This window comes from Homo sapiens, chromosome 20 (assembly GCF_000001405.40).
Source record: "Homo sapiens chromosome 20, GRCh38.p14 Primary Assembly".
Lineage (NCBI taxonomy): Eukaryota > Metazoa > Chordata > Mammalia > Primates > Hominidae > Homo > Homo sapiens.
Window position 1 is genome coordinate 23,516,605 of NC_000020.11, and position 26,576 is coordinate 23,543,180.

At 43.1% G+C, this 26,576-nt stretch overlaps 1 pseudogene across 1 annotated transcript, besides 4 other annotated features; it reads left to right on the forward strand.

Annotated features, from left to right (window-relative positions):
* The first annotated feature begins 2,541 nt into the window (after nt 1-2,541).
* On the forward strand, nt 2,542-25,414 carry CST13P (cystatin 13, pseudogene; annotated as a pseudogene). The gene is made up of 4 exons (NR_001279.2): nt 2,542-2,880; nt 4,143-4,504; nt 17,594-17,704; nt 25,070-25,414. The product of NR_001279.2 is annotated as a cystatin 13, pseudogene (transcript).
* Nucleotides 14,641-14,760: an enhancer, noted in NCBI's record as "active region_17642". NCBI's record gives its function as "activates an Ori minimal core promoter by ATAC-STARR-seq in GM12878 lymphoblastoid cells {active_cell/tissue: GM12878}" and the evidence as "EXISTENCE:reporter gene assay evidence [ECO:0000049][PMID:35858748]".
* Nucleotides 16,357-17,318: an enhancer, noted in NCBI's record as "OCT4-NANOG hESC enhancer chr20:23513598-23514559 (GRCh37/hg19 assembly coordinates)". NCBI's record gives its function as "activates a minimal SCP1, AML or CMV promoter by ChIP-STARR-seq in naive and primed H9 embryonic stem cells {active_cell/tissue: H9 hESC(naive and primed)}" and the evidence as "EXISTENCE:reporter gene assay evidence [ECO:0000049][PMID:30033119]".
* Nucleotides 18,016-18,693: an enhancer, noted in NCBI's record as "H3K4me1 hESC enhancer chr20:23515257-23515934 (GRCh37/hg19 assembly coordinates)". NCBI's record gives its function as "activates a minimal SCP1, AML or CMV promoter by ChIP-STARR-seq in naive H9 embryonic stem cells {active_cell/tissue: H9 hESC(naive)}" and the evidence as "EXISTENCE:reporter gene assay evidence [ECO:0000049][PMID:30033119]".
* Nucleotides 18,694-19,369: an enhancer, noted in NCBI's record as "H3K4me1 hESC enhancer chr20:23515935-23516610 (GRCh37/hg19 assembly coordinates)". NCBI's record gives its function as "activates a minimal SCP1, AML or CMV promoter by ChIP-STARR-seq in primed H9 embryonic stem cells {active_cell/tissue: H9 hESC(primed)}" and the evidence as "EXISTENCE:reporter gene assay evidence [ECO:0000049][PMID:30033119]".
* Nucleotides 25,415-26,576: the final 1,162 nt, after the last annotated feature.

The following is a 26,576-nucleotide window of genomic DNA, read 5'->3' on the forward strand; positions in this document are numbered from 1 at the left end:
TTTCCAGTGTCACATTTCTCACTACTTGTCTTACTCCACACCCACTAGCATGACTATAATAAAAAATACAGGTAACAAGTGTTGGCAAGCATGTAGAGAAACTGGAACCCTCAAACACTGCTGATGGGAATGCAAAATGGTGCAACTATTTTTGGAAAACCATCTGGCAGTTTCTCGAAAAGTTGAACATACAGTTATTATATGACACAATAATTCTACTTTTAGGTATATGCCCAAGAGATAGAAAAACATATGTCCACATGAAAGTCTGAACAGGAATGATCGTAACAGTATTTATTAAAAACAGCCAAAAAGCCAAAACAGTAGCCAAAATAACCCTACTTCTCATTAATTAATGAGTGGATAAATAAAATATGGTATATGCATACAACAGGTTATTATTTGTAATAAAAATAAATGAAGTAGTGATACAGGCTACAGACAGGAGGAACCTTGGGAACATGCTAAGTGAGAGGAACCAGACACAGGAGATCACACACAGCGATTCCGTTTACGTGCAATGCCCAGAAGAGGGACATCTGTGGAGAAAGCACGTTAGTGGCTCCTCCCTAGGGCTGAAAGGGGATGGAGAAATTGGCATATAAAGGCTAAAAAGTTTGAGGTTTCTTTTTAGGGTAACAAAAATGTTGTAAAATTGATTGTGGTTTGGATATAAAATTCTATGAATATACTAAAGTCATTGACTTGTATGCTTAAATGGGTGAATCCTACAGTGTGTGAATTACCTCTGAATAAATCCATTATAAAACCCCCTCCTCATTATCAGGGAGCCCAGTCATGGTGTAGATGATGGTGGTCCCAGCCACTCCCGGCCTGCACCTCCTGGGACCTTCCTAGCTGGGTCTTTCCTAAAATCCTGATTATCTTGAGTCATGAGCAAAATAAAATGCTATGAGGCAGTAGTTCCCAGAGCAACCAGTGCCTGTGGTCCTGATGACCCCACCTTAGACAGAATGTGTTTGGTGATGTGAACATTGACGGGGGGAGGAACTATGCCAAGAGGAGAGGAGGGCTGCCTCCTGTCCCTATGCCATGGGGGCCCGTGCACAGGCCCTGGGACCTCTAAGAGGCCCCACCCCAGCCCTGAAGGAGCCCATGAGAGTTCTGGTTCCCCTGCGGGCTTGTGGGTTCACACCCACCACAGCGCTCAACAAACACTGCCTCCATCCTTTTCCTTTTACCAGGCCCCTTCCCCTGTGGAATGCTCAGTGGAGGACACAGGCATCTCTTGGCTCTGTGTTGTGCAACCTCCCATGGACACTTGTGTTCTGCTTTGGACACAAGATGTGTGGATCAGTGTGGCAGTTGGAGTGAGGCATCGCCACAGGCCAACTGTTTTCAGACAACTGATGTGTGGCCAAGAGAGGAAATGGATTCCTTTTGAGTAGATTGTCTGCTTGAATTCTTGGCTCATTTTGAGCCAGGACGATTGAGGAAATTGTCTTTTTCTGTTGGCTTTTAAAGAGCTGTTTCCATAAAAGGGAATTTAGCCCTTTACCAAATATGTTCTAAATGACTTATTGTGTGTTCCCTTTCCTCTTTGGTCTTTGTGGTGTGTGTGTCCGGTGTGTGTGTTTGTGCACATGTGCACACTATACAAAATGTATAGCCAGATTTATTATTCTTTACTGTTGGCCTCTGTGTGTTGTACCAGCTTAGAAAGGGCTCCCTAGTCGAGCGTGCAATTCAGTTTCAAACACTTGGGCCTTTAACCCAGGGATTATCAGGGCCGACTTTCTGTTTGGAATTGGACCTCAGGTCTGATGTACTTTGGGCTGATCTGTATTTTATCTTGCAAAGAGAAATATTAATTTCCAAACTTGTGAGTTCTTGGGAGCTCCCCTACTGTCTCCGAGGCAGGCCCTAAATGCAGAGCAGGATGAAGTTCTGCTCCTCCATGGAACCTGGCTTGAGCAGACAGGTGTCAGGTCCTGAGATCACAAACAGGGTAGAGAACTGTGTCCCAAGTGAGCAGAATCAGGAATGCTTACCTGGGACATGCATCAAGATGGGGGAAGACAGGGCTGATAGGTGGGAGGGATCTGTGCTGGCTCTTCTGGGCTACATTGTTCACTCCACAGAGGTAGCTTAGGCTGGCATGGCCATTGCCAGCTGACATCTTCTACCTGGCGTGTCTGGTGGCAACTCTTGTCAGCTGGTGGCCCCTTAGCTCCTGGCCAGGTGCATTCCTGAATGCCTGTTGGTCCCAAAGTCCTTTAGCCTGGTTCTTTGATGGTTCCTTCTGCTTCTAGGGCCATGGCATTGCATAACGGGGCTCTGAAAGACATGGCTGCCAAGGTGCTGTCATGTGTACCTAGCACAGTCCAGAGGACAGCAGTTTAGAAAGTCAGCAGGTGTGGAACAAAGGTGAGGGACTTCTGCGAACTGGCAGCCCTTGGTGAGCCCATGGCCTTCTGAGGGCCAGTGTCAGAAGCGCCCTTCACTTGAGCAGCATCAGAGGGCCTGGGCTGACCTCACAAAGGGGCCATGAGTGTGACTACCTGGCTGGGGAGTGAAGCCAGAGGGCAGAAGTGCCCTGGAGTGCAGACCCCAGCAGACACTGACCAGGCACAGGAGGATGAAGTGAGTTTGTTGGGGACAGAGAACAGCCAAGGGGCAGCCGGCAGTCAGCTCAAGTCCTCACAAAGAAGGGCAATACCACCCGTGGGCCGGGACAGTCGGCTCGAGGGCCAGCAGCCAGGAACGTGGCGAAGAACTTGGATCTGAGGTGGGCCCATGGTGTAGCTGTGGTGTGCTAGCAAGAGTGGCCTCCAAACCCACCCTGGAAGGTGATCCAGAGACCATAGAGCAGAAAGGCTTCCTTCTCAGAGTGAGCTGCTGGAAGCCCACCAGTGTCAGGTCAGTGTAAAATAAGGAGCGAGAAGAGGGTGGAACAGGTCAATGTGCTTAAAACACAGAGAAATGGGGTGACAGTGAGGAGACCATCTGCCTGGTGCTAGGTCCTCCATGTTCACACCCCCCATCTCTCTCAGCCGCATCAGCTCCCCACTAATGGTAGGGTTGGGGGACCATGGTGGACGTTTGGGCAAGAGTCCTAGAGATGGAAGGTGCTTGTCAGTCACACACACTGGTTTACGGACAGATGCAGGCAGGGCTGCGCCAGCCAGCTGATGAGCCTCCTGCACAGCTGAGGACTTGATTTGCATTTCTAGGGGAGAGCATGTAGGGTGCCAGAATGATGTCACCAGAGGGTGGCCAGATTAAGACCTCATGAATCTTCTGGCTGTGTGTATCTCGTGTATATTTAGTGCCTGATGGATATCAGGTGTCTCTTTGTTTTGCCAACACGTTCTGTGTTCAACTTAGATATACGCTACCTCCACATATCTTTCATTAACACAACTTATGATTTCTGCCTACATCTCTATTTGCCCACTCTCTATACACATCTTAACTGGTTTGCCTGTCTTACAAACTACATGCTCATTTATATTCTATAGTAGAATTGGATATCCTCAAAAGCAAGTGTACATTCCAAGCGGTTACCTACATATGTGTATCTCTTAGATTGAGATAGGTTACAAGGTAGGGGGAAGGGCAGACCCTGAGTTAAAAAGTGGATGCTTCCATCAAGTATGCTTAAGTGCTCTCTTGACCTCTCCATGAGTCTCATTTTCCTCCTGTATAAAGGAGTTACTCACAAAACAGCCCCATGGGGGACGGCAATGATTACATAAGACACAGGAAGTGCCTATGGAACTCTCTCAACCCTATCCTTCTGAGGTTTCAATGGAGGCTCCATTTCACAGGCATGGTTGATTAACTGGTCATTGATTAACTCAATCTTTGGCCCCTCTTTCCTCCCTGGAGGTGGAGGGTGGGGCTGAAAGTTCCAATCTTCTAATCACACTGCAACCAGCCTCTATCCTGAGGCTATCTGGGATCCCACCAGGATTCACCTCATTAGCATACATTCAGCTGTCGTTAAAAAGGGCATGTTAGAAATAACCAAGATGCTGCTGTGACATCTCAACCACTCAGGCAATTGTAAGGGTTTTAGGTGCTTCCTGCTAGAAACCTGGGGTGAAGACCAAATGTCTATTTCTAATTCTACTACAATATCACCGCTGTGTTAACAGAAGTTCCTTCCTTTTAATCAGCAGTGCCAAGAGGAGCTGGGGTGCCAGTATCTGTGTATCTTCAGAGGCAGCAGGGGCCAGTGTGCCACATCTTGCCCCAGTCCTGAAAGGATAGATGGTATTTGGCCTGTGACCCTTGGCTGAGGAGCCATGGTCCGGCTCTGCCAGGCCCTGCTGCTGTTAGTGGCCACTGTGGCCCTTGCATCCAGAAGATTCCAAGCCTGGGGCTCAACAAAGGTGGTGAGGACATTCCAAGATATCCCTCAAAACTACGTCTATGTGCAGCAGGCACTCTGGTTCGCCATGAAGGAGTATAACAAGGCCAGCTTTAGTATAACAAGTTCAGCTTTAGGGTGCTGAAGGTTCTGAAGAGCCAGGAGCAGGTGGGTGGGGTGCTTGCTCCTTGCCCTTTCACTCCCCGCCCTCAGTGTCAACAAACAGAGTCAAACTCAGAATAAAGGGGTTTATTCTGAGCCAAATGTGAGTGACCAAGGCCTGTGATACAGCCCCAGACGGTCTTGAGAACATGTGCCCAAGGTGGTTTATAGTTTAATATTGTACATTTTAGGGGGATAGAAGTTACAGGCACACATCATTCAATACATATAGGTGTACGTTGGTTTGGTTTAGAAAGGCGGGACAACTTGAAGTGGGGGCTTCCAGGTCATAGGTGGATTCCAAGATTTTCTGATGGTCAATTGGTTGAAAGAGTTAAGTTGCTACCTTAAGACCTGGAATCAGCTGGACGTGGTGACTCACTCCTGTACTCCCAGCACTTTGGGAGGCCAAGGCAGGCAAATTACCTGAGGTCGGGAGTTTGAGACTAGCCTGAACGACATGGAGAAACTTCATCTCTACTAAAAAAGAATACAAAATTAGCTGAGTGTGGAGGTGCATGCCTGTAATCAGAGCTACCTGGGAGGCTGAGGCAGGAAAATCGCTTGAACCAGGGAGGCAGAGGTTGCAGTGAACCGAGATCATGCCATTGCACTCAGCCTGGGCAACAAGAGCAAAACTCTGTCTCAAACAAACAAACAAACAAACAAACAAACCTGGAATCAATAGAAGGGAATGTCTGGGTAAAGATCAGGGGTTGTGGAGACCAAAGTTAATCATGCAGATGAAGCCTCCAGGTAGCAGGCTTCAGAGAGAACAGATGGTAAATGTCTCTTATCAGGCCTTAAAAAGTGCTAAACTTTTAGTTAATTCTCTCCTGGATCAGGAGAAGACCTGGAACAGGAAGGAGATTCTCTACAGAATGCAAATTTACCCCCATAAGAGCTGGCTTTGCAGGGTCATTTCAAAATTCATCAAAGAAATATATTTTGGTAAAATGCTTCTTTCAGGACCTGTTATCTGTCTTGGGATGCTATAGTAAAGTTGGAATTTGGTAACTTATTGCTACAAAGATCTGTTTTGTCAGTCCGAAGACCTCTGTTTTAATGTTAAAGCTGGTCAGTTGTTTCTGAATTCCAAAGGGAGGAGGGTATAATGAGGCATGCCTGACCCTCCTTTCCATCATGGCCTGAACTAGTGTTTCAGTTTTACTTTGGAATGCCCTTGACTGAGAGGGGGTCCATTCAGTCACTTGAGAGGTCTTAGAATTTTATTTTTGGTTTACATCAGTCTGAACAGAGCCCATTATCTGTGGATGGCTACTGAAACTAGGAATGGAAGACACAACTGAGAGATGCCTTTAGTCATAATATATTTCTTTTATTTTAGGAGTTTTTGAAGGAAAACAAATTTTATTTCATTCTTTATTATACTAGGATGGAGATGAAACAAAAATATCCATTAAAATCACTTGAAAATGGTTACAGTCACATCAAAAAGTAGAGATAAGAGCCCAGAAGGTAGCTTGAAGGGAGCAAGTTTGGACCATTTGTGCATCATCAATGTGGGCCATGGCAAAGATGGGTTATGACACATTGAGCGAGTACAGCTGATGCTGGGAAAGGAGCCTGGACAGAAGGGAGGCTCCTCTTTACAGGAAAGTGCCATCTCAAAAATGTGAAAGAAGTGGCCTAACTAGAAAATTATGCCATCTTCTAGTTGTATCTTCTCACCACTACCACGGTCATAACTATTTCAGGCAAAGATCATCAGTGAATCCTACAACCACTGAGTGAGAGTGTTTGGCGTGAACCATTGCAGAGATTACTTATTAGTTACAAGGGGAAAAGACATCCTTCTAATCAGAAAATTTGATAAACACCTTTCTTACCAAATGCTCACCACCAACACTGAGACAAATTGGCATCACATACTTCCTGAAACGATGTGCACAGAGGGGATGCCAGCACCTGTATATGGTATTCTTGCCCAGAATGCATACTTTGAATGTAATCAGAGGAGAAATTAGATAAATCCATAAATCCAATATCATGAGAAACAGGGGAAAATGCTGGAAAACTGTTCCCCAACAAAGGAGACCTACGAAGCATGATGGCTAAATGCAGCAGGTGGTCCTGTGTTATCTTGGTGTCAACTAGAGATTCAGTCTGGTTTATGAATTTGAAAAGGAGAGCTTTGTTTCTCTAAAGGGTTGCAGCCTACAGGGTGGCCATTCTGACAGGCTGGGAATTCTGATGGAAGCTGGAAAGAGGCACTTTGAGGGGAGAAGCATAAGACAGGAATCTGTGCTGAATGGGTTGGCTAAGTATATATATTTAATAAGCTATAGGAGGAGTCATGAAGATTCATGAAAGAAAAATGTATGCATGCACAGTTGAGCTTCATGCCTCTTCATGGGTTGCATCTTCAAAAAGTGATGCTATTAGCATTATCCAAAGGTGGATTTTAAGCCCTCTGATGGCAAAAGCTGAAGTAGAGTCACCAAAACCCTCACTGTGCATCCTCCACATGTCAGGCAAAACCAGTCCAGAGATGGTGGCCAGTTTTCAAGAAAGGATGCCTTGTGAAGCTGGTGAGCTGTCACATCAAAATGCAAAGAGGGAAGAGGGACTCTGGTCTTGGCCTCAGATGATTGACTAATGGCCATAAAAGAATGAGTCGTTTATTTCTTGTTTTCCAGTGTTGGTTTCTGCTTACTCCTTAGGAAAGAATACAAATTAAAGGTTAGTGAGGAGGGGGCACACTGAGGTATGTCTGACATCCCATCCCCTCATGGCCGGGAATTCAGTTTTTAAGGTTTCTCTGAGGTCCCCTTGGCCTAGAGGGGGTCTGTTTGGTCCATTGGAGATTTAGGGTTTTATTTTTATTTCTCAACAAAAGAAAAGAAAAAAATTATAAAGGATGTTATTGGGACAATTGATGAGATTTTCATCTGGGCTGTATAATAGAAGATAACTTTGTACCTGCGTTAAATTTCCTGAGAGAGGTGATTGTCCTGTGGCTCGGCAGGCACCCAAGGCATCCACGGTGGCACACCGTGAAGGCCCAGGAATGAGATCAGTCTGCTGGAGTCTGGGGAGTGAGAGGGTGGCAGAGGTGGAAGGCGACACCGAGCTTGGGTCATGGCGGTGCTGACATGAAGTGTCACGCAGAGATGCCTCTTTGTGCTCTTCCTTCTCGAGCTCATCTCTCTGCCGCCTTCCCTTTGACCTTTCCTGTTCATGTCTCCAGGCTGCCAGGCCACCTGCCCTACTTTCCTGTTTTCTTATCTGATCAGGAGAGAAGGTTCACTGGGAGGCTGCATGCCCGACAGTGCTGGGACATTAGGCCCCTTATTCGTCTTGCCATGCTCCGTGGGACCTTGGCTCCCTCTGGTTCTTTCTGTAGTTCTGGTTATGTTGCTTGTGTTGCTTGAGGAGAGGACACCTATGACCAGGAATGTGCCACCAATGAGCGAAATTAAAACCTTAGAACACAGGCAGCCTGCAGCCTCTCAGGCATGTTTAACACCTGTTCTCAGTAAGTTCCCGCCCCCTCCAGAACTATTCCACTTTCTTGGGTTTCTCTGTATCTAAGCTTTCCTACTTACACCAATAAAATAGTGTTTTTGCTTTATAGGCCGGTGTTTAATAATACAGTAAACCAAATACCTGGATATCTAAAAAATTATATACCATTTTGTACTGTTTCTTGTTTTTTTTTTTTTTCCGTGAATGAATGTTTTATTTTTTAGTTTACTGTGAGCTTTTGAATGCAGGCAATAATTCAAAAGAATCAGGTAGAAACAGATTCAATAAGAGACTACAACACAAGTATCTAAAATTCTTTGACCTTACAGCTACATACTGCTGCAAAAGAGCACAGAGAGAGATTTTTTTAAATGTATCATCCCCCAAACAACACACAATAAAAGCAAAAAGAAAAATTCTTGGTGACAATTCAGCTTAAACTTAATAATATACACATAGGCTTTATGAAAAGAAAACAGCCATATCTTATTGGGAGATTTAAGAATACACAGATTTGTATCAGGGGTTGGCCAAGTGTAGCCTGCTGCAGGCTTTTAAACAGAGTGGTTACAGAGACAGCTTGGCCTGCAAAGCCTACAATCTTTACTACCAGGCCCTTTAGGGAAATTTTATAGATGCTGCTCTTTTCTTTTCTTTTGGATATTTGAAGCAATTTTATTAATTTTTTCTTGACATATTAAATGTTTCTATTTATTTTTAAGGTATACAACATGATGTTTTGCTCTATACATTGTGAAATGACTACTAAAATCAAGCTAATTGACATACCCATCACCTTACATAGTTACCTTTTTTTGTTTGCGTGTGGTATGAATACTGGAGATCTACTCTTAGAGCAAGTTTCAAGCATATGATACACTGTTAATAACTGATGTCATCATGCTGGACTATCTCTTGGTAGACTGAGTGCTGCTGCAGAGTTTGTGCAATGTGAGTGCTGGCGCAAGGAGCATCTCATCCCCAGCGGCCTGGAGCCACACGGCAATGAGAGAATTCCAGTATACTTGGCACCAGGGCTGGTTGCTTTCCACAGGTGCACTCAGGTCTCATAGCTCATTAAGTTAGAACTACCTTCTTCTACATTACTGAGGAGGAAACAGTCACAGAAAGGTTTAGTAACTTGCCCAGAGCCACAAAGCTAGTAAGTAGAAGAGCCAAGATTTAAAGCCAGGCTGAGCCAGGCGTGGTGGCTCACACCTGTAATTCTCAGACTTTGAGAGGCTGAGGTGAGAGGATTGCCTGAGCCTGGGATCAGCTTGGGCAGCATGGCGAGACTTCATCTGTAAATTAAAAAAAAAAAAGAAAAAAGAAAAAGAAAATTAGCTGGGTGTGCCTGTAGTCCCAGATACTCCGGAGGCTGAGGCTGGAAGATTGCTTGAGCCCAGGAGTTTGAGGTTGTAGTGAGCTGCAGTTGTGCCACTGCACTCTAGCCTGAGCAACAGAACTACACCCTGTCTCAAAAAAATAAAAGAAAATAAATAAAAATAAACTCAGGCTGCTGTGCTCTTCTTCATCAGCACCTGTCTCTGAACAATGCCCAGTGGAGCCAAGGTGGTGGGAAAAAGTGCAGCCACAGGGTAGGGGAGGAGAGGGGTCTTCGGATGGCCAGGAGTCAGAGGGGCCTGTCTGTGTAAAGACTGAGGGGCTCCTCAGCAGCCAGGACCCCACCTGCCTCCTATTTCCTGAGCAAGTGTGGGTCAAGATAGGATTAGCGGTTGCTTGGTAGCTGATGAGTATGAATTAGAGCTGTTAGTTTTTTGGGTTTTGGTTTGTTTGTTTGTTGTTTTTTTTGAGATGGGGTCTCATTCTTTCCCCCAGGCTGGAGTACAGTGGTGCAATCTTGGCTCACTAGAAGCTCTGCCTCCCAGGTTCACGCCATTCTCCTGCCTCAGCCTCCCGAATAGCTGGGACTACAGGTGCCCGCCACCACCCCCCTACCCCCACTTGGCTAATTTCTTTGAATTGTTTTTAGTAGAGACGGGGTTTCACCATGTTAGCCAGGATGGTCTTAATCTCCTGACCTTGTGATCCACCTGTCTCGGCCTCCCAAAGTGCTGGGATTGCAGGAGTGAGCCACCATGCCCGGCCTAGAGCTATTAGTTTTTTATTGTAATTTCAACTTAGACCTATGACTCAAATATACAGCAATGGTTTGCAACTAGGGGTGGCTTTTGCTCCTTAAGGGAGTTTTGGCAATGCCTGGAGAGATTATTTTGTTGTTATGACCAGAGGGGGCTGCTCCTGACATCTAGTGAGTGGAGGCTCAGGATTCTACTAACTATCCTGCAAGGCACAGGGCAGCCCCCAAACAAAGAGGGATCCAGCCCAAAATATCAATAGCACTGAGGTTAGGAAACTTGATATGCAGTCACCAGAAAGTTCTAAGAGTACAACTGAAAGTTGTTTAAAAAATGAAAGCAAACCCTCAATTTCTTGCATTCCCAGTCTGGCTTGTCATTCTTGAGGGCACCACTAAGAGCAGTGTGCTCTGTCCTTCTAGATATTTTCTATGTACTTACATATGCATCTGAAATATTTAAAAGTATATTTTATAGTCATAAAATCATGCTTTCTATGTTTTTCTCTACTTCTTTTGCCACTTGAAACATGTCTTTAAAAAGTTACGTAAATACACTTAGATCCACCTCATAGTTGTATTTCATGAGATGATGTGCCATAATTTTTTTTCGCCCATCTCCTAATGGACCATGAGGTTTGTTAATAGGAAAAGTGAAACAATGAATATTCCTTTGTATGTGTTGCTTTGATATTGTGAGGTTAAAATCAGGTGTCGACTGGATTGAAGGATGCCTGGATGGCTGGTTAAGTCTTGTTTTTGGGTGTGTCTGTGAGGGTGCTGCCAGAAGAGATGGATGTTTCAGTCGGTGGACAGGGAGAGGAAAACCCACCCTCAGTGTGGGTGGGCACCAGCCAATCGGCTGCCAGTGAGGCTAGGACAAAGTAGGCCAGGTGGGAGAGGAGGATGGCTTTGCTGGCTGAGGCTTCTGGCTCTTTTCTTCCTGCATTGGATGCTTGCTTCTCCTGTCCTTGGATATCTAACTCCAGGTTCTTCAGCCTTTGGACTCTGGGACTTGCACCAGTGGGTCCCCAGGGCCTCTTGGGCCTTTGGCTGCACTGCCAGCTTTCCTGGTTTTGAGGCTTTTGGACTTGGATTGAGCCACTACTGGCTTCTCTCTGCTTGCAGACAGCCTACTATGGGATTTTTGCCTTGTAATCGTGTCAGCCAATTCTCCCTAGTAAATTCCTTTTATATACAAACTTATTCTATTAGTTCTGTCCCTCTGGAGAACCCTGACTAATACCGATAGTATCCTGAATTTGAATTCATTGGTTAAAAAGTACATTTGCAAAATAATGGCAAATTGCCCCTTAAAAGGGCTAAATTACATTAGATTTTTGGCAATGCTGCAGGTCTCAGTACCTCTTGCCTCTCATTTTCACCAGCTGTGGTCTCATTTTGTCTTTCAGATGTTTGCCAGTCTGATGGAGGCAACAATAACATTTTTTAATTCCCCTATAGAGTGAGAAATTGTCTTCCATTGAATTTATCTACAATATATGTTTACTTCTAAGAATTGTTTCCCTTTTTCTTTTGCATTGCTTGTCTTGCTCTTACAGAATCATAGATGTTCTTTATGCACTATTCATATTAAACTATGATTCTCATATATTTCACTCACGTCCGTGTGAAGAGGCCACCAAACAGGCTTTGTGTGAGCAACAAGGCTGTTTATTTCACCTGGGTGCAGGCGGGCTGAGTCCGAAAAGAGAGTCAGTAAAGGGAGATAGGGGTGGGGCCATTTTATAAGATTTGGGTAGGTAAAGGAAAATTACAGTCAAAGGGGTGTTGTTCTCTGGCAGGCAGGAATGGGGGTCACAAGGTGCTCAGTGGGGGAGCTTTTTGAGCTAGGGTGAGCCAGGAAAAGGAATTTCACAATTCAGTTAAGGCAAGGACTGGCCATTTTCACTTCTTTTGTGGTGGAATGTCATCAGTTAAGGCAGGAACAGGCCATTTAAATATCACTTCTTTTGTGATTCTTCAGTTACTTCAGGCCATCTGGATGTATACCTGCAGGTCACAGGGCATATGATGGCTTAGCTTGGGCTCAGAGGCCTGACAATATATACTGCAAATATTTTGTGCTTGCCTGTCTGTTGCTTATAGTTTAATTTTGCTTACAGTGTCTGTAAGATTTTTTTTAAAAATACTGACACAATAACATTTATTAGTTCTTCCCATATGTTGTTTGGAGTTTATATCTTGCTTAAGAAGTCCTTTTCCATTCTTGAGTATAACAGTTACAATTGTTATAAATAAAGTTTTGGTGCTGCAAAAGAAATAGCACTTGAATATAAAATTTTCTATTTTTCTTCTCAGCAAGGCAATTTACTTCTATAGAAGGGTGCATCCTCAGAGATGGAGCAATGGTGAGCACACACCTGGACAAGGGAGGAGAAAGGGTTCTTATTTCTGATGCACGTGGGCCCTGCTGCTGTGTTGTTCCCTTATTGGCTAGGGTTAGACCACACAGGCTAAACTAATTCTGATTGGCTAATTTAAAGAGAGTGATGGGATGAGTGGTTTGGCAGGGAAAATGGTCATGGCAGAGAAGGAAATCAGAATGAGTCAGGGTGGAGAATGAGTCAGGGCAGAGAAGGTAATCAGAATGAGTCAGGGTGGAGCAGGTGATTGAAAAAGGTTGTTTTATGAGGAAGTTAAGTTTAAAAGTAGAAGGCAAAGAGTTGAACATACTGACATATTGATTCTTTAAAAAGAAATTTAGAACTCATATCTAACACAATTCTTCTAAGACATTTATAATTTAAGCTCAGTAATCTATCTTGGAATTATTTTTATTTATGGTGTGGAGTTAAAGTTATCCAGTTAAAGTTACTGGATCTAACTTTAACTTTTTAAAATAGTAAATTTCCGTAACTGTCTCTATAAAAGGTCTCTGTGTTTTGAAAAGCCAGCTCACCATAGACTAAGTATCCAAATATAGTTGAGTCTGTTGCAGGATCATTGTTGATTCTCTTTCCTTGATTATTTTATTTGTTCCTGGGTGGGTATTGTAGAGTTGCTATTGAGTAGGAAAAGTCCTTTACATTATTCTTTTAAAAACCTTTTAAAAATGAGAATTCCCATTTATTCCTTAAAACCTTTTCATTGTGAAACCAACACAAAAACCGAAAAGTTCATAATGCATAGATGTCAAGCAGAATGAATCACTTTAAAATGAACGCTCATGAAATGATTCCCCATATAGTGTGGAGAGAACATCTCAGGCTCCCTGGAGTTATGCATGCCACTCTTCCCTGCTCTGCCCCAGAAGAAGCCTTTACCGTGAACACTGCCTAAGTGTACAGCCCTCAACACCACAGTTTTACCTGCTCCTTGAACTTCATAGGCGTGAGGTCCCACATGCTGTGTTATTTTGGTTTGGCTTGTGTCTTTCAATATTATGTTTGTGCATTTCATTCATGTTGTGGCAGGTAGCAATAATATATTCCTTTTGTTTTTTCAAAATCAAGTGTTTTATTTTAAAAAAATTTATTGTATATATTTAAAGTATATAACACGATATTTTCATATACCTGTAGATAATGAAATGGTTACTACAGTTGAGTGAATTAACATATCCATCATTACACATTGTTACCTTTTTATGGGGATCAAGATCCCCAAAATCCACACTTTTAGAAAAATCCCAAATACAATATAGTAATCTTGACTTTGTCCTCATGTTGTACATTAGAACTCCAGACTTGTTTGTTCTACATATCTGTGACTTTTTATCCTTTGACCTATGTCTCCCCATTTCTTCCCTGACCCATTTCACTTTTTATGTTAAGTGAAGTGAAAAACCAGATACAGAAAGAAAAATACTACATGATCTCATTTATGTGTGGAATCTTAAAGAAAAAAAAGTATGTTCGTTCCGACTGCTGCAGAAAATTTCGTTATATAAGCACACTACCATGTATTTATCCTGCTATTGTTGATACATATTGGGGTTGTTTTCCGTCTTTGACTGTATGAGTAGTGACACTATGCACACACAGGCATACCTTGTGGATACTGTGCCTTGTGGATTTAGTTCCGTAATACAATCCATCGCATTGTATTCCATGCAATACAGTGAATATCACACTAAAGTGAGTCACACACATAATTTGGACTCCCAGTGCCAATAAAGTTATGTTTACACTATACTGGAGTCTATTAAGTGTACAATAGCACTAAATCTAAAAATATATACCTTAGTTAAAAATACTGTATTGTTAACAATGCAGATGATACCTAAACCTTAGGCCCATTGTAATCTTTTGCTGGTGAGGGATCTTGCCTTGATGTTGGTGGCTGCTGACTGAGCAGGGTGGTGGCTGCTGAAGGTTGAGGGGACTGTGGCATTTTCTTAAAATAAGACAACAGTGAAGTTTGCCACATTGATTGACTTACTCTCATGAAAGCTTTCCTGTAGCATGTGATGGTGTTTGATAACATTTTACCCACAGTAGACTTTTTGAAAAAATTGGAGTCAACCCTCTCAAACCTTGCAGCTGCTTTATCAACTCAGTTTGTGTAATAGTCTAAATCCTTTGTTGTCATTTCAACAATGTTCACAGCACCTTCACCAGAAATCAATTCCATTTCAAGAAACCATTTTCTTTGCTCATCTCTGAGAAACAGCTCCTCATCTATTCACATCTTATTATGAGACAGCAGCAATTCAGTCACATTTTCAGTTCCATTTCTAATTTTAGTCGTCTTGCTATTTCCACCACATCTGCAATTACTTCCTCCACTGAAGTCTTGAGTCCCTCAAAGTCATTCATGATGGTTGGATCACATTCTTCCAAATTTCTGTTAATGTTGATATTTTGAACTCCTCCCATGAATCACACATGTTCTGAATGGCATGTAGAATGGTGAATCCTTTCCAGAAGGTTTTCAACCTACTTTGCCCAGATCCATCAGAGGAATCACTCTTTATGGAAGTTACAGCCTTATGAAATGTTTTCCTTAAATAACAACACTTGAAAGTTGAAATTACTCCTGCAGAATGGATGTTGTATTAGCTGACATTGAAACAATATAAATCCTTGTATATTTCCACTAGAGCTCTTGGGTGACCAGGTGCATTGTCAATGAGCAGCAATACTTTGAAGGGAATTGTGCATGTGCTTTTTTTTTTTTTTTTTTTTTTTTTTTTTTTTTTTTTTTTTTTTTTTGAGCATTATGTCTCAGTAGTAGGCTTAATATATTCAGTAAACCGTGTTGTAAACAAAAATGCTTTCATCCAGGATTTGTTGTCTTATCATATGTAAAGTAGATTTAGCATAATTCTTAAGTGCTTTAGGATTTTCAGAATAGTAAATGAACATTGGCTTCAATTTAAAGTCACCAGCTGCATTAGCCTCTAACAAGAGAGTTAACCTGTCGATTGAAGCTTTGAAGACAGACATTGACTTCTCTCTAGCTATGAAAGTACTAGATGGCATCTTCTTCTAACAGAAGCCTGATCGAACTACATTGAAAATCTCTTGTTTGTGTAGCCACCTCCATCAATGATCTTAGCTGCATCTTCGGGATAACTTGCTGTAGCTTCTTCATGAGTACTTTGCCACTTTACCTTGTATTTTTACGTTATGGAAATGGCTTCTTTTGTTAAACCTCATGAACCAGTCTATGCTAAATTCCAACTTTTCTTCTGCAGCTTCCTCACCTCCCTCAGCCTTCATAGAATTAAAGACAGTTAGGGCCTTGCTCTGGACTAGACTTTTGCTTCAGGGAATGTTGTGGTTAGTGTGATCTTTCATCCAGACCATTAAAACTTTCTCTATATCACCAATCAGGTTGTTTTGCTGTCTTATCATTTATGTGTTCAATAGATTAGCACCTTTAATTTTTTTCAAGAACTCTTTCTTTGCATTCATAGCTTTGTTAACTGTTTGGTGCAACAGTTCTAGCTTTCAGCCTATCTTAGATATCAACATGTCTTCCTCACTAAGCTTAATCATTTCTAGCTTTTCATTTAAAGTGAGATATGTGTGACTCTTCTTTTCACATTACAATGAGGCAACAGTAGGGTTGTTAGTTGGCCTTATTTCAGTATTACTGTGTTTCAGGGAATAGGGAGGCCTAAGGAGAGGAGAGAGATGGGGAATGGCCAGTCTGTGGAGCAGTAGGAACACACGTATTTATAGATTTAAGTTCACTGACTTATATGGTCATGGTTCTTGGTGCTCTAAAACAGTTACATAGTAACATTGAAGACTACTGATCACAAATTACCATAATAGACGTAATAATAATGAAAAAGTTTGAAATATTTTGAGACTTGCCAAAATGTGACACAGAGACAGGAAATGTGCACATGCATGTTGGAAAAATGGTACCGATAGATGCTTGACTCAAGGTTGCCATAAACCTTCAATTTGTAAAGAACACGGTACCTATGAAGCATGATAATTCAAAGTACAATAAAATGAGGTGTGCCTGTATTTGTACATGTGTGTGCCTTTGAAGTTAGGTATACATCCAAAAGTGAAATTGCTGGATCCAAGGGTGTGCACTTCTCTCTCTGACCTCTAACCCAAGATTTAAAGGGCTCATGTGAATAGGTCAGGTCAACCAAGTCAATCTCCCTATTTTAATTCAGCTCTCCCCTAGAGGATAGCCTAATCACAGAAGTAAAATCCATCCTATTCATAGTCCTAGGGATCCCACAGGGCACACACAATAGGGAGCAGGACTCCTGGGGGCATCTTAGAATTCTGCATACCACACTCCCTTTGTTCAATGCCTAGGAAACTTTTCTAGAATTTCTAAAAAAAATTTTTTAATATTTTGTCAGTTGTCTCTGATTCTTCTGGGACCAGTTATTGTGTTTAAACTTGATCATTCTCTTTAATATGCTCTCTCCCCCAAGTCTTGTAAACCTTGTTTTCTTGTTCATTTTTAAATAAAGTCCACTTTTGCCATTGAGCTGCTCCATTTCCCCAAGAGGCTCTCTTTGAACAGAAGGGCTGCTAGGGGCTTTGTGCAGGTAGAATGCCCTCAGAGGCAGAAATTTTGGAGGAATCCACATTTCAATAAGGTGTGGATACTAAGATTGGCAAAGAATAGGAGACTTTAGAGAGAATCAATACAAATACACACTAAGCAAGTTCTAGTTCAGGGTCATAGTTTTATTTCCTCAATATCTATTGATTAGGTGTGAAGATGCTACAAGCTCTGCTGTTTCCCAAGCTCTAATAAGCAAACCATTAGCTTCCCCAGGAAAATAATTTTGGGGGGAATTGTTTTCTTGCTTTATTTTGGAGACAGTTACCATTACTTTAAAATTAAATACTATGATGAGAGACAGAGAGACAGAGATATCAAGGTAAGAAAACTTCCAAATTACCCCAAAACTTCTGGACAGAAAAGAGTTGAAGAGGGGGAAGGCAAAAAAGACATTCTTGGCCTTGAGTAGTCAATGACATGTTTATTTACCAGAGATGACAATTGATATTATGTATTCTTTAATGATATATGATTTTTACATTACTCATTGACAGGTGACAGATAGTTTGGAGTACTATATTGAGGTCAAAATTGCCCGAACAATTTGCAAGAAAATTTCAGAAGATGAAAACTGTGCATTTCAAGAGGATCCCAAAATGCAAAAGGTATGTAGCTGAGACAAGGAGAACCCCTTGCACTGGTAAGACTTGTGTACCAGATCATATTCAGGACTGTGGATGACCAGGTTCTAGACACAGAGCATCATTTCTATTATCTGTTGCTGATGCCAACCTTCCCTTCCCGAATGTTATGGGATCTTTGGGGTGTTGCTTTTCTGGCTGGAAACCTCTATGGCTGGTGGCACCTTTGCCCAAGTTCTTGTCCTGTTTCTGGAAAGAATGAGGTACACAGACAAGTGGAGGGTGAGCAAGATGAAGAGGAGCTTCACTGAGTGTTAGAACAGCTCAGAGGAAACCCCGTGGTGGGTAGCTCCTCTCTGTAGGCAGTTCATCCAGAGTGTTCAGCTCTCAGCAGAGAGGGTAGCTCCTCTCTGCAGCTGGTCATCTGGTAGTCTTCCCAGATCTCAGCAGAGAGAACAGCTCCTTTCTGCAGCTGGTTGTCTGTCCTCTGCTCTCTCTGAGTCTGGGGGTTTCTATGGTCTTCAGAGGGGGAAGTGTGTGCTGATTGGTCTGTGGTCAGCCATGGGTGGGCCCAGCAATAAGTACAAGTTCCCCCTCTGGTCTGCAGGACTGGCAGCCCAGCCCAGAGGCCTCAGGCCCTCCCCAGCCTGGGACCCACCCCCTTCTGCCCAGGAGCCTGTCTGCCTTCCACCACCCTTCACAGCCCAGGCTGTTCATGCCAAGGGGCGCCCGTAGGCCAGTGCTGAGCTGTCCTCAGCACCCCCCTTGGCCTCCCTCCGTGCTTCTCGGTGCCCAAAGATTGGAGGGGGCCGAAGCAAGAGGGGGCCAGAGTATTACAGCTGCCCTGAGCATGCGTGCACCCGACTGGATTGCGACAACTCCGGGGTTCTGCCCCAGCCTTGCTCCATGATCAGAGCAGGTGCCAGGAGCGGGGAGAGGCCAGGCAGTGTAAGCAGGCATCCCAAGCCTGTGGGGGGCAGGGAGAAGTTCCCAGGCCCTCAAGAGCACAGAGATGCCCAGGTCTACCCCTGGACCTGGGCAGCTGCAGCTGAATCCAGGGCCTCCTGCCTCCCACAACTCAGAAGCTGCGTGGCTCCTGCTTATCCTGGAGTCCTGGGCCCACTTTCCTGCTGCAGCCGGCGTCTTGGCAGTGGCCACTCTCCATGTGCCGCTGCTGCCATCACCACCAACACACCAACACTCACCCGCGCGCGCGCACACACACACACACACACACAGAGTTAGTGGCTTAAAGTAAAACGAACTCATTATTTCTCACTATTCTGCAACCTGTGCTGTGTTCTATTGGGGCAGGAATATTCTAGATAGCTACTTTACTCATGTGTTTGGCACCTCCACTAGGATGGCTGAAACAATGGGGGGGCTGGCTAGGCATCCTTCTCATACTGCTCAGGGACTAGCCATGGGGCAAACTTGTAGAGTGATCAGTCATCCTGGTTTGTCAAAGACTGTAGGCTTTCCTGGGATGTAGGCCTTTCAGTACTAAAACCAGGGAAATTTTGGCAAACCAAGATGTGTTGGTCATCCTATACTTGGACATTCTCACAACATGGTGCTTCCAAGGGAGTCAAAATTCTTAATTGGCTCCTAAGAGGAAGAAGCAGAAGCTGCCATCAGAACTGATAGAGAAGAAAGTGATGGCCGCCATCTTGGTGCACTGTCAACTCCGGCACCCTTTGCTGAGGGGTCCTGACCCAGTAGAAGGTACAGCATGACCTTCCTCCACTGCAGTCCTTGAAAGACCATTCCTCTCCTGCTGGGATTCCACAAGCCTGTGATTGCTTTGAAGCAGAGGATGTTGGAAGCAATGCTTCTTGGCTGATTCTGATACCAGTGGGCTAGGGGAGGTCTCCAAATGCCAGCGGGACGTTGACCCTGGATGGTGCCCGGGCTCTTGACACCTTCATGAGAAGGAATTCAAGGATAAGTTTGAAAATAGTGAAAATACAGAGATTTGTTGCAAAGCAAAAAGAACACACTCAAGACGTGGGGAGTGTGGGTATGTACTTGAGAGAGAGAGTCATGTGCAAGAGGGTTTGGTGCTCCTACCTTTATGGGTTTCTTTAACCAAAGTCTGGAATATTCATGAAAATTCCTGGAAAAAGATGGAGATTTCTTGGACCGGTGCCACCCATTTTTACACCAAATATGGGTGTTCCCAGAGCTCCATGGTGCTGATGGGTGTGTATTTAATATGTTAATGAGCACATAATGAAGTCCTAGGTGAAACTTAGGTCAAATCCAGTGCCATGTTGGGTCCAGTCAGTCTTAGCCAGCTTGGTCCACACCCTGGTTTTCAGGGTATCATCAGCCCCTAGCTTCTGCAGCTATTTCAACAGTTTCCTTTTGCTAGTCATGCAAAACTGCTGCCTGGAATGTTCTATTCTCCTGCAACCACCCTGTAGTATTCCTGTCTCAATTCCACTAGTCCAGCTGCTGCATGGAAGTCCTACAAGGCTCTGGAACAGTCCCAAGACTCCAGCCCAATGGCCCTGCATGCTCCCCATAGTCTCAGAGGTCCAGGCTGCTGCTGCTTCAGGCCAAGATGGGGGACAGCCCCAGCCAGGCCAGGCTGTTTTCAGATGGAGACTGTCACAAAGGCAAGTTCATCACAGAGGAGACAGGCTTAATAAAAAAGTCCCTTACTCTCCTCGTAGTTGACTAAACAGGGATACATTTCAGATTTAAATTTGATATTTTAAAATGTATATAAATATTTTCTAAAAGTATATTCTCATAAAAATATATGGGATAACAGTGAGGTCATGCCCCTTGGACTCCTGGATGATGCCCCAATTCTGCCCCCTGCCAAGGAGTTTCCACTGGGATCATTTGTGTGGACAGCTTTAAGATAATTTTGCTATAAACTTACAAAAATGACACAGTCTTTTTTCTCTTTCCCTTTTTATTTAAATAACTGCTGACGTGTGTTTTTTGATATAACTTCCTTTTTTTTTACATTTGTCTTGGTAATCTTCTCATTGAAATTATTTCCAAATTTTTTCTTTCATAAATGAAACTGCATTGAAAACCCTTATATATGCATATTTCTGTGCCCTGTGTATTTTTTCATCTATTTACTAAATACCCGAAGCAGGCACAAGACACGGACAGGTGGAAATAGTGGCAGATAAGTGATTGGCAAAAACTGCTCAGACATAATGCCAATTAAAAATATCCTCATATTTAGGCCAGGCGTGGTGGCTTACGCCTGTAATCCCAGCACTTTGGGAGGCCAAGGTGGGCAGATCACCTGAGGTCAGGAGTTCAAGACCAGCCTGGTCAACAGGCTGAAACCCTGTCTCTACTAAAAATACAAAAATTAGCTGTGCATAGTGGCATATGACTGTAGTCTCAGCTACTCAGGAGGCTGAGGCAGAAGAATCTCTTGAACCTGGGAAGCAGATGTTATAGTGAGCCAAGATCACGCCAGTGCACTCCAGCCTGGGCCACAGAGCGAGACTCCATCTCAAAAAAAAAAAAAAAAATTCCTCATATTTTAATGAAGAGCAGACATCATAGCAGAATGCCAAGTGCAAGCAGATGGCTAAATCTAGAGATTGAATTCTTATAAAAGATTAGAAATAATTTTAAATTAAGTAATATTTCAGAAATTCAAGGAAGTACTAAGAATGATATATCAAATGCCCATCTGCCTACCACACAAATTTTACAACTATTATCATTTTATTACATTAATTTTAGATATCTATTTTTTAAAATTTATTTTTATTTATTTTTAAAAATAAATTTTATTGGGTATATTTAAAATATATCACATGGTAGTATGTGATTCATACAGATAGTAAAGTTACCATAGTGAAGTAAAATAACATATCTATAATCTCACATAATTTTGCATTTTGTGACATGAACAACTAAATCTAGTCATCTAGCAGAAATTCCAAATATAGTATAATTTAATTAACTCATGATGTACATTAAACCTCATCCTATATCTGCTAATTTGTAGCTTCTAGCCTACATCTCCCAACCCCCTACAACCCGCTCTGCGGGTAACCATTACTTTATCCTCTCTCTGTATATTTGGCTCTCTCTTTTTTTTTTTTTTTTTTTTCAGATTCTACGTGTAAGTGTGATCATGCAATATATTTCTTTCCGTGTCTGGCTTGTTTCACTTAGTACAACATCCTCCAGGTTCATCCATGTGGCCAATGACAGGATCCCCTTCTTCTTTAAGGCTGAATAATATTTCATTGTGTGTGTGTACTGCATCTTCTTTATCCATCCGTTGATGGGCACTTAGGTTGTTTCCACATGCTGGGTATTGTGAATAGTGTTGCAACGAACATAGGAGTGCAGATATCTTTATGAGGTGATGATTTTATTTCCAGAGGGATTGCTGAGTCATATGGTAATTCTATTTTTAATTTCTTCAGGAACCTCCATACAGTTTTTCATAATGGCTGCGCCAGTTTACCTTCCCAGAAACAGTGTACAAGGGCTCTCTTCTCGCCACACCCTCACCAACATTCATTATCTCTTGACTTTTTGGTAATAGCCATCCTAATGGGTATTATTATTTATTTTAAAAAGTAAAATGTTACACATCTATTATGCTCCCCCCTCAAAGATAACCACTCTTCTATCATTGGTGGGTAACATTTCTACCTATGTTTAAAAACTTTTGCCTATGTAAAAGAATTTTGTGTGCTTTTCAAAATTTACATACATTTTGGAATTTCTGTTTTGTTTTGTTTTTTATTTATAGGACTTGCTTTTTAATATCCTTTTTGGGAGCAATAAGGCAGCTCCTGTTGGGGCCACAGCCTTAGATGGAGGAACACAGCCAACCTGCTGTGACTCCCTGACCTCACCCTCCTCCTGCTTCCCACTTTTCTGATTTTATCCTTCCTTGGCCAAACTCAACTGGAAGCCAGAAGGGGCCCACTGACACTGTCCATGGTGGTCATAGAGCAAGGGTGCCCACTGGCATGGTCCAGAGAAGTCAGAGGATAAGGATGTCCATTGGAGCAACCCACAGAGGTCAGAGGGCAAATGTGCCCATTGGAGCAGCCTGTGGAGGTCAGAGGGTAACGGTGCACATTGGTGTAGTCTGTGGAGGACAGAGGGTAAGGGTGCCATTGGAGCAGCCCATAGAGGTCAGAAGGTGAGGGGCCCACCGGTGTAGTCCATGGAGGTCAGAGGGTAAAGGTGCCAACTGGAGCTGCCCATGGAGGTCAGAGGGTAAGGGTGCCCACTGGAGCTGCCCAGGGAGGTCAGAGGGCAAGGGTGCCCATGGGAGTTGCCCATGGAGGTCAGAGGGCAAGGGTGCCCGTTGGAGCAGCCCATGGAGGTCAGAGGGCAAGGGTGCTCATTGGAGTAGCCCATGGAGGTGAGAGGGCAAGGGTGCCCACTGGAGCAGCCCATGGAGGTCAGTCTTCCAAGACAAGCCAGGTAGAGATAGGAGGAGTGCAGACCTCGGGGGACAAATGGAGAAAATTTAGCACAGGGGCAGGGGTGGAGATGTGAGAGCCATATGAGTCCATTATTAGTCTGTTGAGATACCTCAAATGAGAGATGATGTTGGTTAGGTTGGGGAGGTGCTCAGATTCTGGGTCTATGAAAGTTTGTTTAGAATTTGCTGATTGATTAGCCATGGAGCGTGAGAGGAGGAAAATCAGGATGGCTTTGGGTTTGAGAGGTTGGGAGGTGGTTTGCTGTCTTTGTTTTCTCTTATGATTGCATCCTCTATCTTGAGTACATGGCACTCAATAAACTTTTTTCCACTTGCCCACATCTATTTATCATGTGGAGATTTTTATCTGTCTCTGTCCTTGCATGGGGTCCTTTCCTGTTTCATAAAGCTCTTATAGGTTGGACTTTCTCTGTTTTCTTGGTTTATTTATTGGTATTTAGAAAGGAAGAAAGTGTGGATATCTGGGATCCTTGGAAAATAAATTTTAAAACAATATTAAATAGTTATTGGCCTGATTCATTCAATGTAAAAAATTTGGAAATTTTCAAAAATATTAAGCTTTTTCAAATCATCTGTTAATAACCTTATGTAAATCTTACCACTGTAAATATATTGGTATGTATTTTAGTTTAAAAATATTTTATGTTTATATTTTTTGTAATTGAGACCCTGATGAATACTGTTTCATGATCTAGATTTTTATTTAATAATAAAACCTAAGCATTTCCAAAACTGTAAAATTATTAGAGAGCATCATGTAATGCAACCATTTGATATTATTTTATGATGCTTCCATATATTATTTAGCCAATTCCTGAGAATTGATTAAGATTTTCCCTAATTTTTAGCTACTATGGACAGGGCTATAATGAATAGTCTTATTTCTATATGTGTTATGTCTGATTTTTGTTTCCTTCTAGGCAAGGTTCTCAGAAATGGAATTAGTCATCCAATATTTTTTCACCTCTTAAAAATTTTAATATACATTGCTAAAATATCCTCTAGGGTTGATCTTGATAATTGGGTTATTCAGGTCCTCTGTTTCCTGATTGTTTTCTGTCTACCTTGGCTGGTCCGGAAGTTAAGCAATTACTTAGTCACCTCTCTGGCAAACCTGATGCCCACTCTCTCTGTTTGCACCACTGGCACACACAGGCTCCCTCGTCCCTGGATTCCCCCTCCCGCCCAGGTGCAGAAGCCTGGACTCAGTTCTGCAAGGCACTGTCTGGGTTGCTGGTGGCGTGTCCTATTTTCTCCCCAAAACTGTTCCTACACCTTTATATCTTACACAACTTCTTCTCTACTTGATGCTATCATTCAAGTTTACACTGACTTCATAGAAGTATTCTTACTTTATATTTTTATTCTAAATGAAGATTTTAGGAGAGAGGAGGGAAACAGTGTTCTCATTCCCATGCATGGATCCTGAAACCCACATGTTCTGCAGGACTCTGGTATGAGAGCTACTTGTTTCCTTCCAGCCCTACAGCTGCAAGCTTTCCTCCTTGGTTGCTGGCACATTTTTATTTCCCCAAGGGGTGCAGGACCTGGTAATATTCTTGCAATGTTGCATTCCCTGGGTAGGACTGTCTGTGCAGCATGGGGTCTCTGTAGGCTACAGGGAGTCCATGTGGCTGGATGAGAGTCAGGGCTGGAGATGGGGATTTTCCAATAATAACCTGTCCTTGGGCTCTGATCCTTGCTCTCCTGGAGTGAATAAAGCCACACCCATGATGGCTCAGATCACAAGAGGTGAACTGATGAGGACTCCTCTGGTGAGGGGGCTGGATCCTCTGTTTTCTGATGAGGCGTGGCTGACTCAGACAGATTAGCCCTGCTGAATCTAACTCCTGCCTGGAAATAGGAACTTCTGCTTTTGTTTCCTTCTTTTTAAAATAGAAACTGACTATTCTTTTTGTCTCTTTCAGGTGGTTTTTTGTACTTTTATTGTTGCATCTAAACCATGGAAATTTGAACTCACCATGCTGAAGAAACAATGCAAAGATATGTAGTTATCTTCTAGTGTGTTCTGCCACACTCATTTCCATTTTAAAGAAGAAGCAAAGACACTTGCAAGAACTAGAACAACACAGTTAACCCATTAACTTCATTTGTTTGGCCTTTTTGCATTTTTGTGTGTTCTTCATGGGCTGATGTTGAAAATCCATGATGTGTTTTGACAGCATTGCATAGCCTATTCTTGCTGGATACTTCCCCTACTAGCTGGGATAATCTGCTGCAATAAATGGAAGTGGTTTCTACACCTCACCCAACTCTGAGTACAAATTACTTTTCATGGACAAATCTTTCTAGATAACCAGAGGACCCAGCCCTCAATTGCTTCAAGCATGCTGGCACTCTCTGTAAGGCTCTGAGAGTCTGGCTGCCTTGAGAGTTTCCGTCCATGGATTTCTACGGAAATCTCCCTTCCCAGGACTTTTTGGAAGACACAGCCTGTTAGCTTAGAAAGTTAGTTTTAACCAGATCCAACCAGAGAGACAGCTGGGCCATTTAGAGATTTTCATTGGTTTTGAATTGAAGCAGAAAAGTTAATGATGCAGGGAGAGAAGACTACATTCGTGTGTGTGTGTGTGTTTGTGTGTATGCACACGTGTGCATGTCTGTGCATAAGTGTGTGCTCACAGTTAGATGTATCAGTTAATGCTGTATGACAAGTCACCTGGTCACTTAATGGCTCAAGCAATTGATTTATATGTCTCATGGTGTCTGTGAGTCAGGCATCTCTGGATGGCCAGACTGGGCAGCTCTGGTTGTCACATCTCATTGGGTTACACTCTGATATTGACTGTGCTGCCATTATTTAAAGGTTTGATGGACTCTGGAGAATCCTTTCCAAGGTAGCTCACTCCCATGCCTGCAGGTTGATAATGGTTATTGACTGAGGTCTCTGTTCTCCACGTGGCTTCTCCACAAGACTGTACGTCAGCTTGGTATCCTGGATGACTTGTTCCAGACACAGTGTTCCCAGAGACCAAGATGGAAGCCACTGTATCCTTTGTAAACTAGACTCAACCCAGAACAGCCCTGGCTCAGTGTGGACTACACAACGACATAAAGATAGAGATTAGGGTCACTGGAGGCCATCTGGGAGGCCAGCCACTACAGTGTGTACACATGTGTGCATGTGTGCGCATGCATGTGTATGGAGAGTGGACTAAGGTGATACCATGACCGTAAAGAGGCACTTTTGAAATCCTGATGCTTAGACAGCAGCACCAATGTGCAGGCTGGGGCAAGGAGACAATATTGTGTAATAACCAGTAGTAATACAGGGTCAGATTCTAACTTAGACACATGACGGAAGGATGGTGATGCTCAGAGGCCACCTGCATGACAGCTGTCCTTGAGGGCTCTTCTCCGACAGGGCTGACTGCAACCTTCTGAGCCTCTCTGCCTAATGGCTTTCTCTGCCAA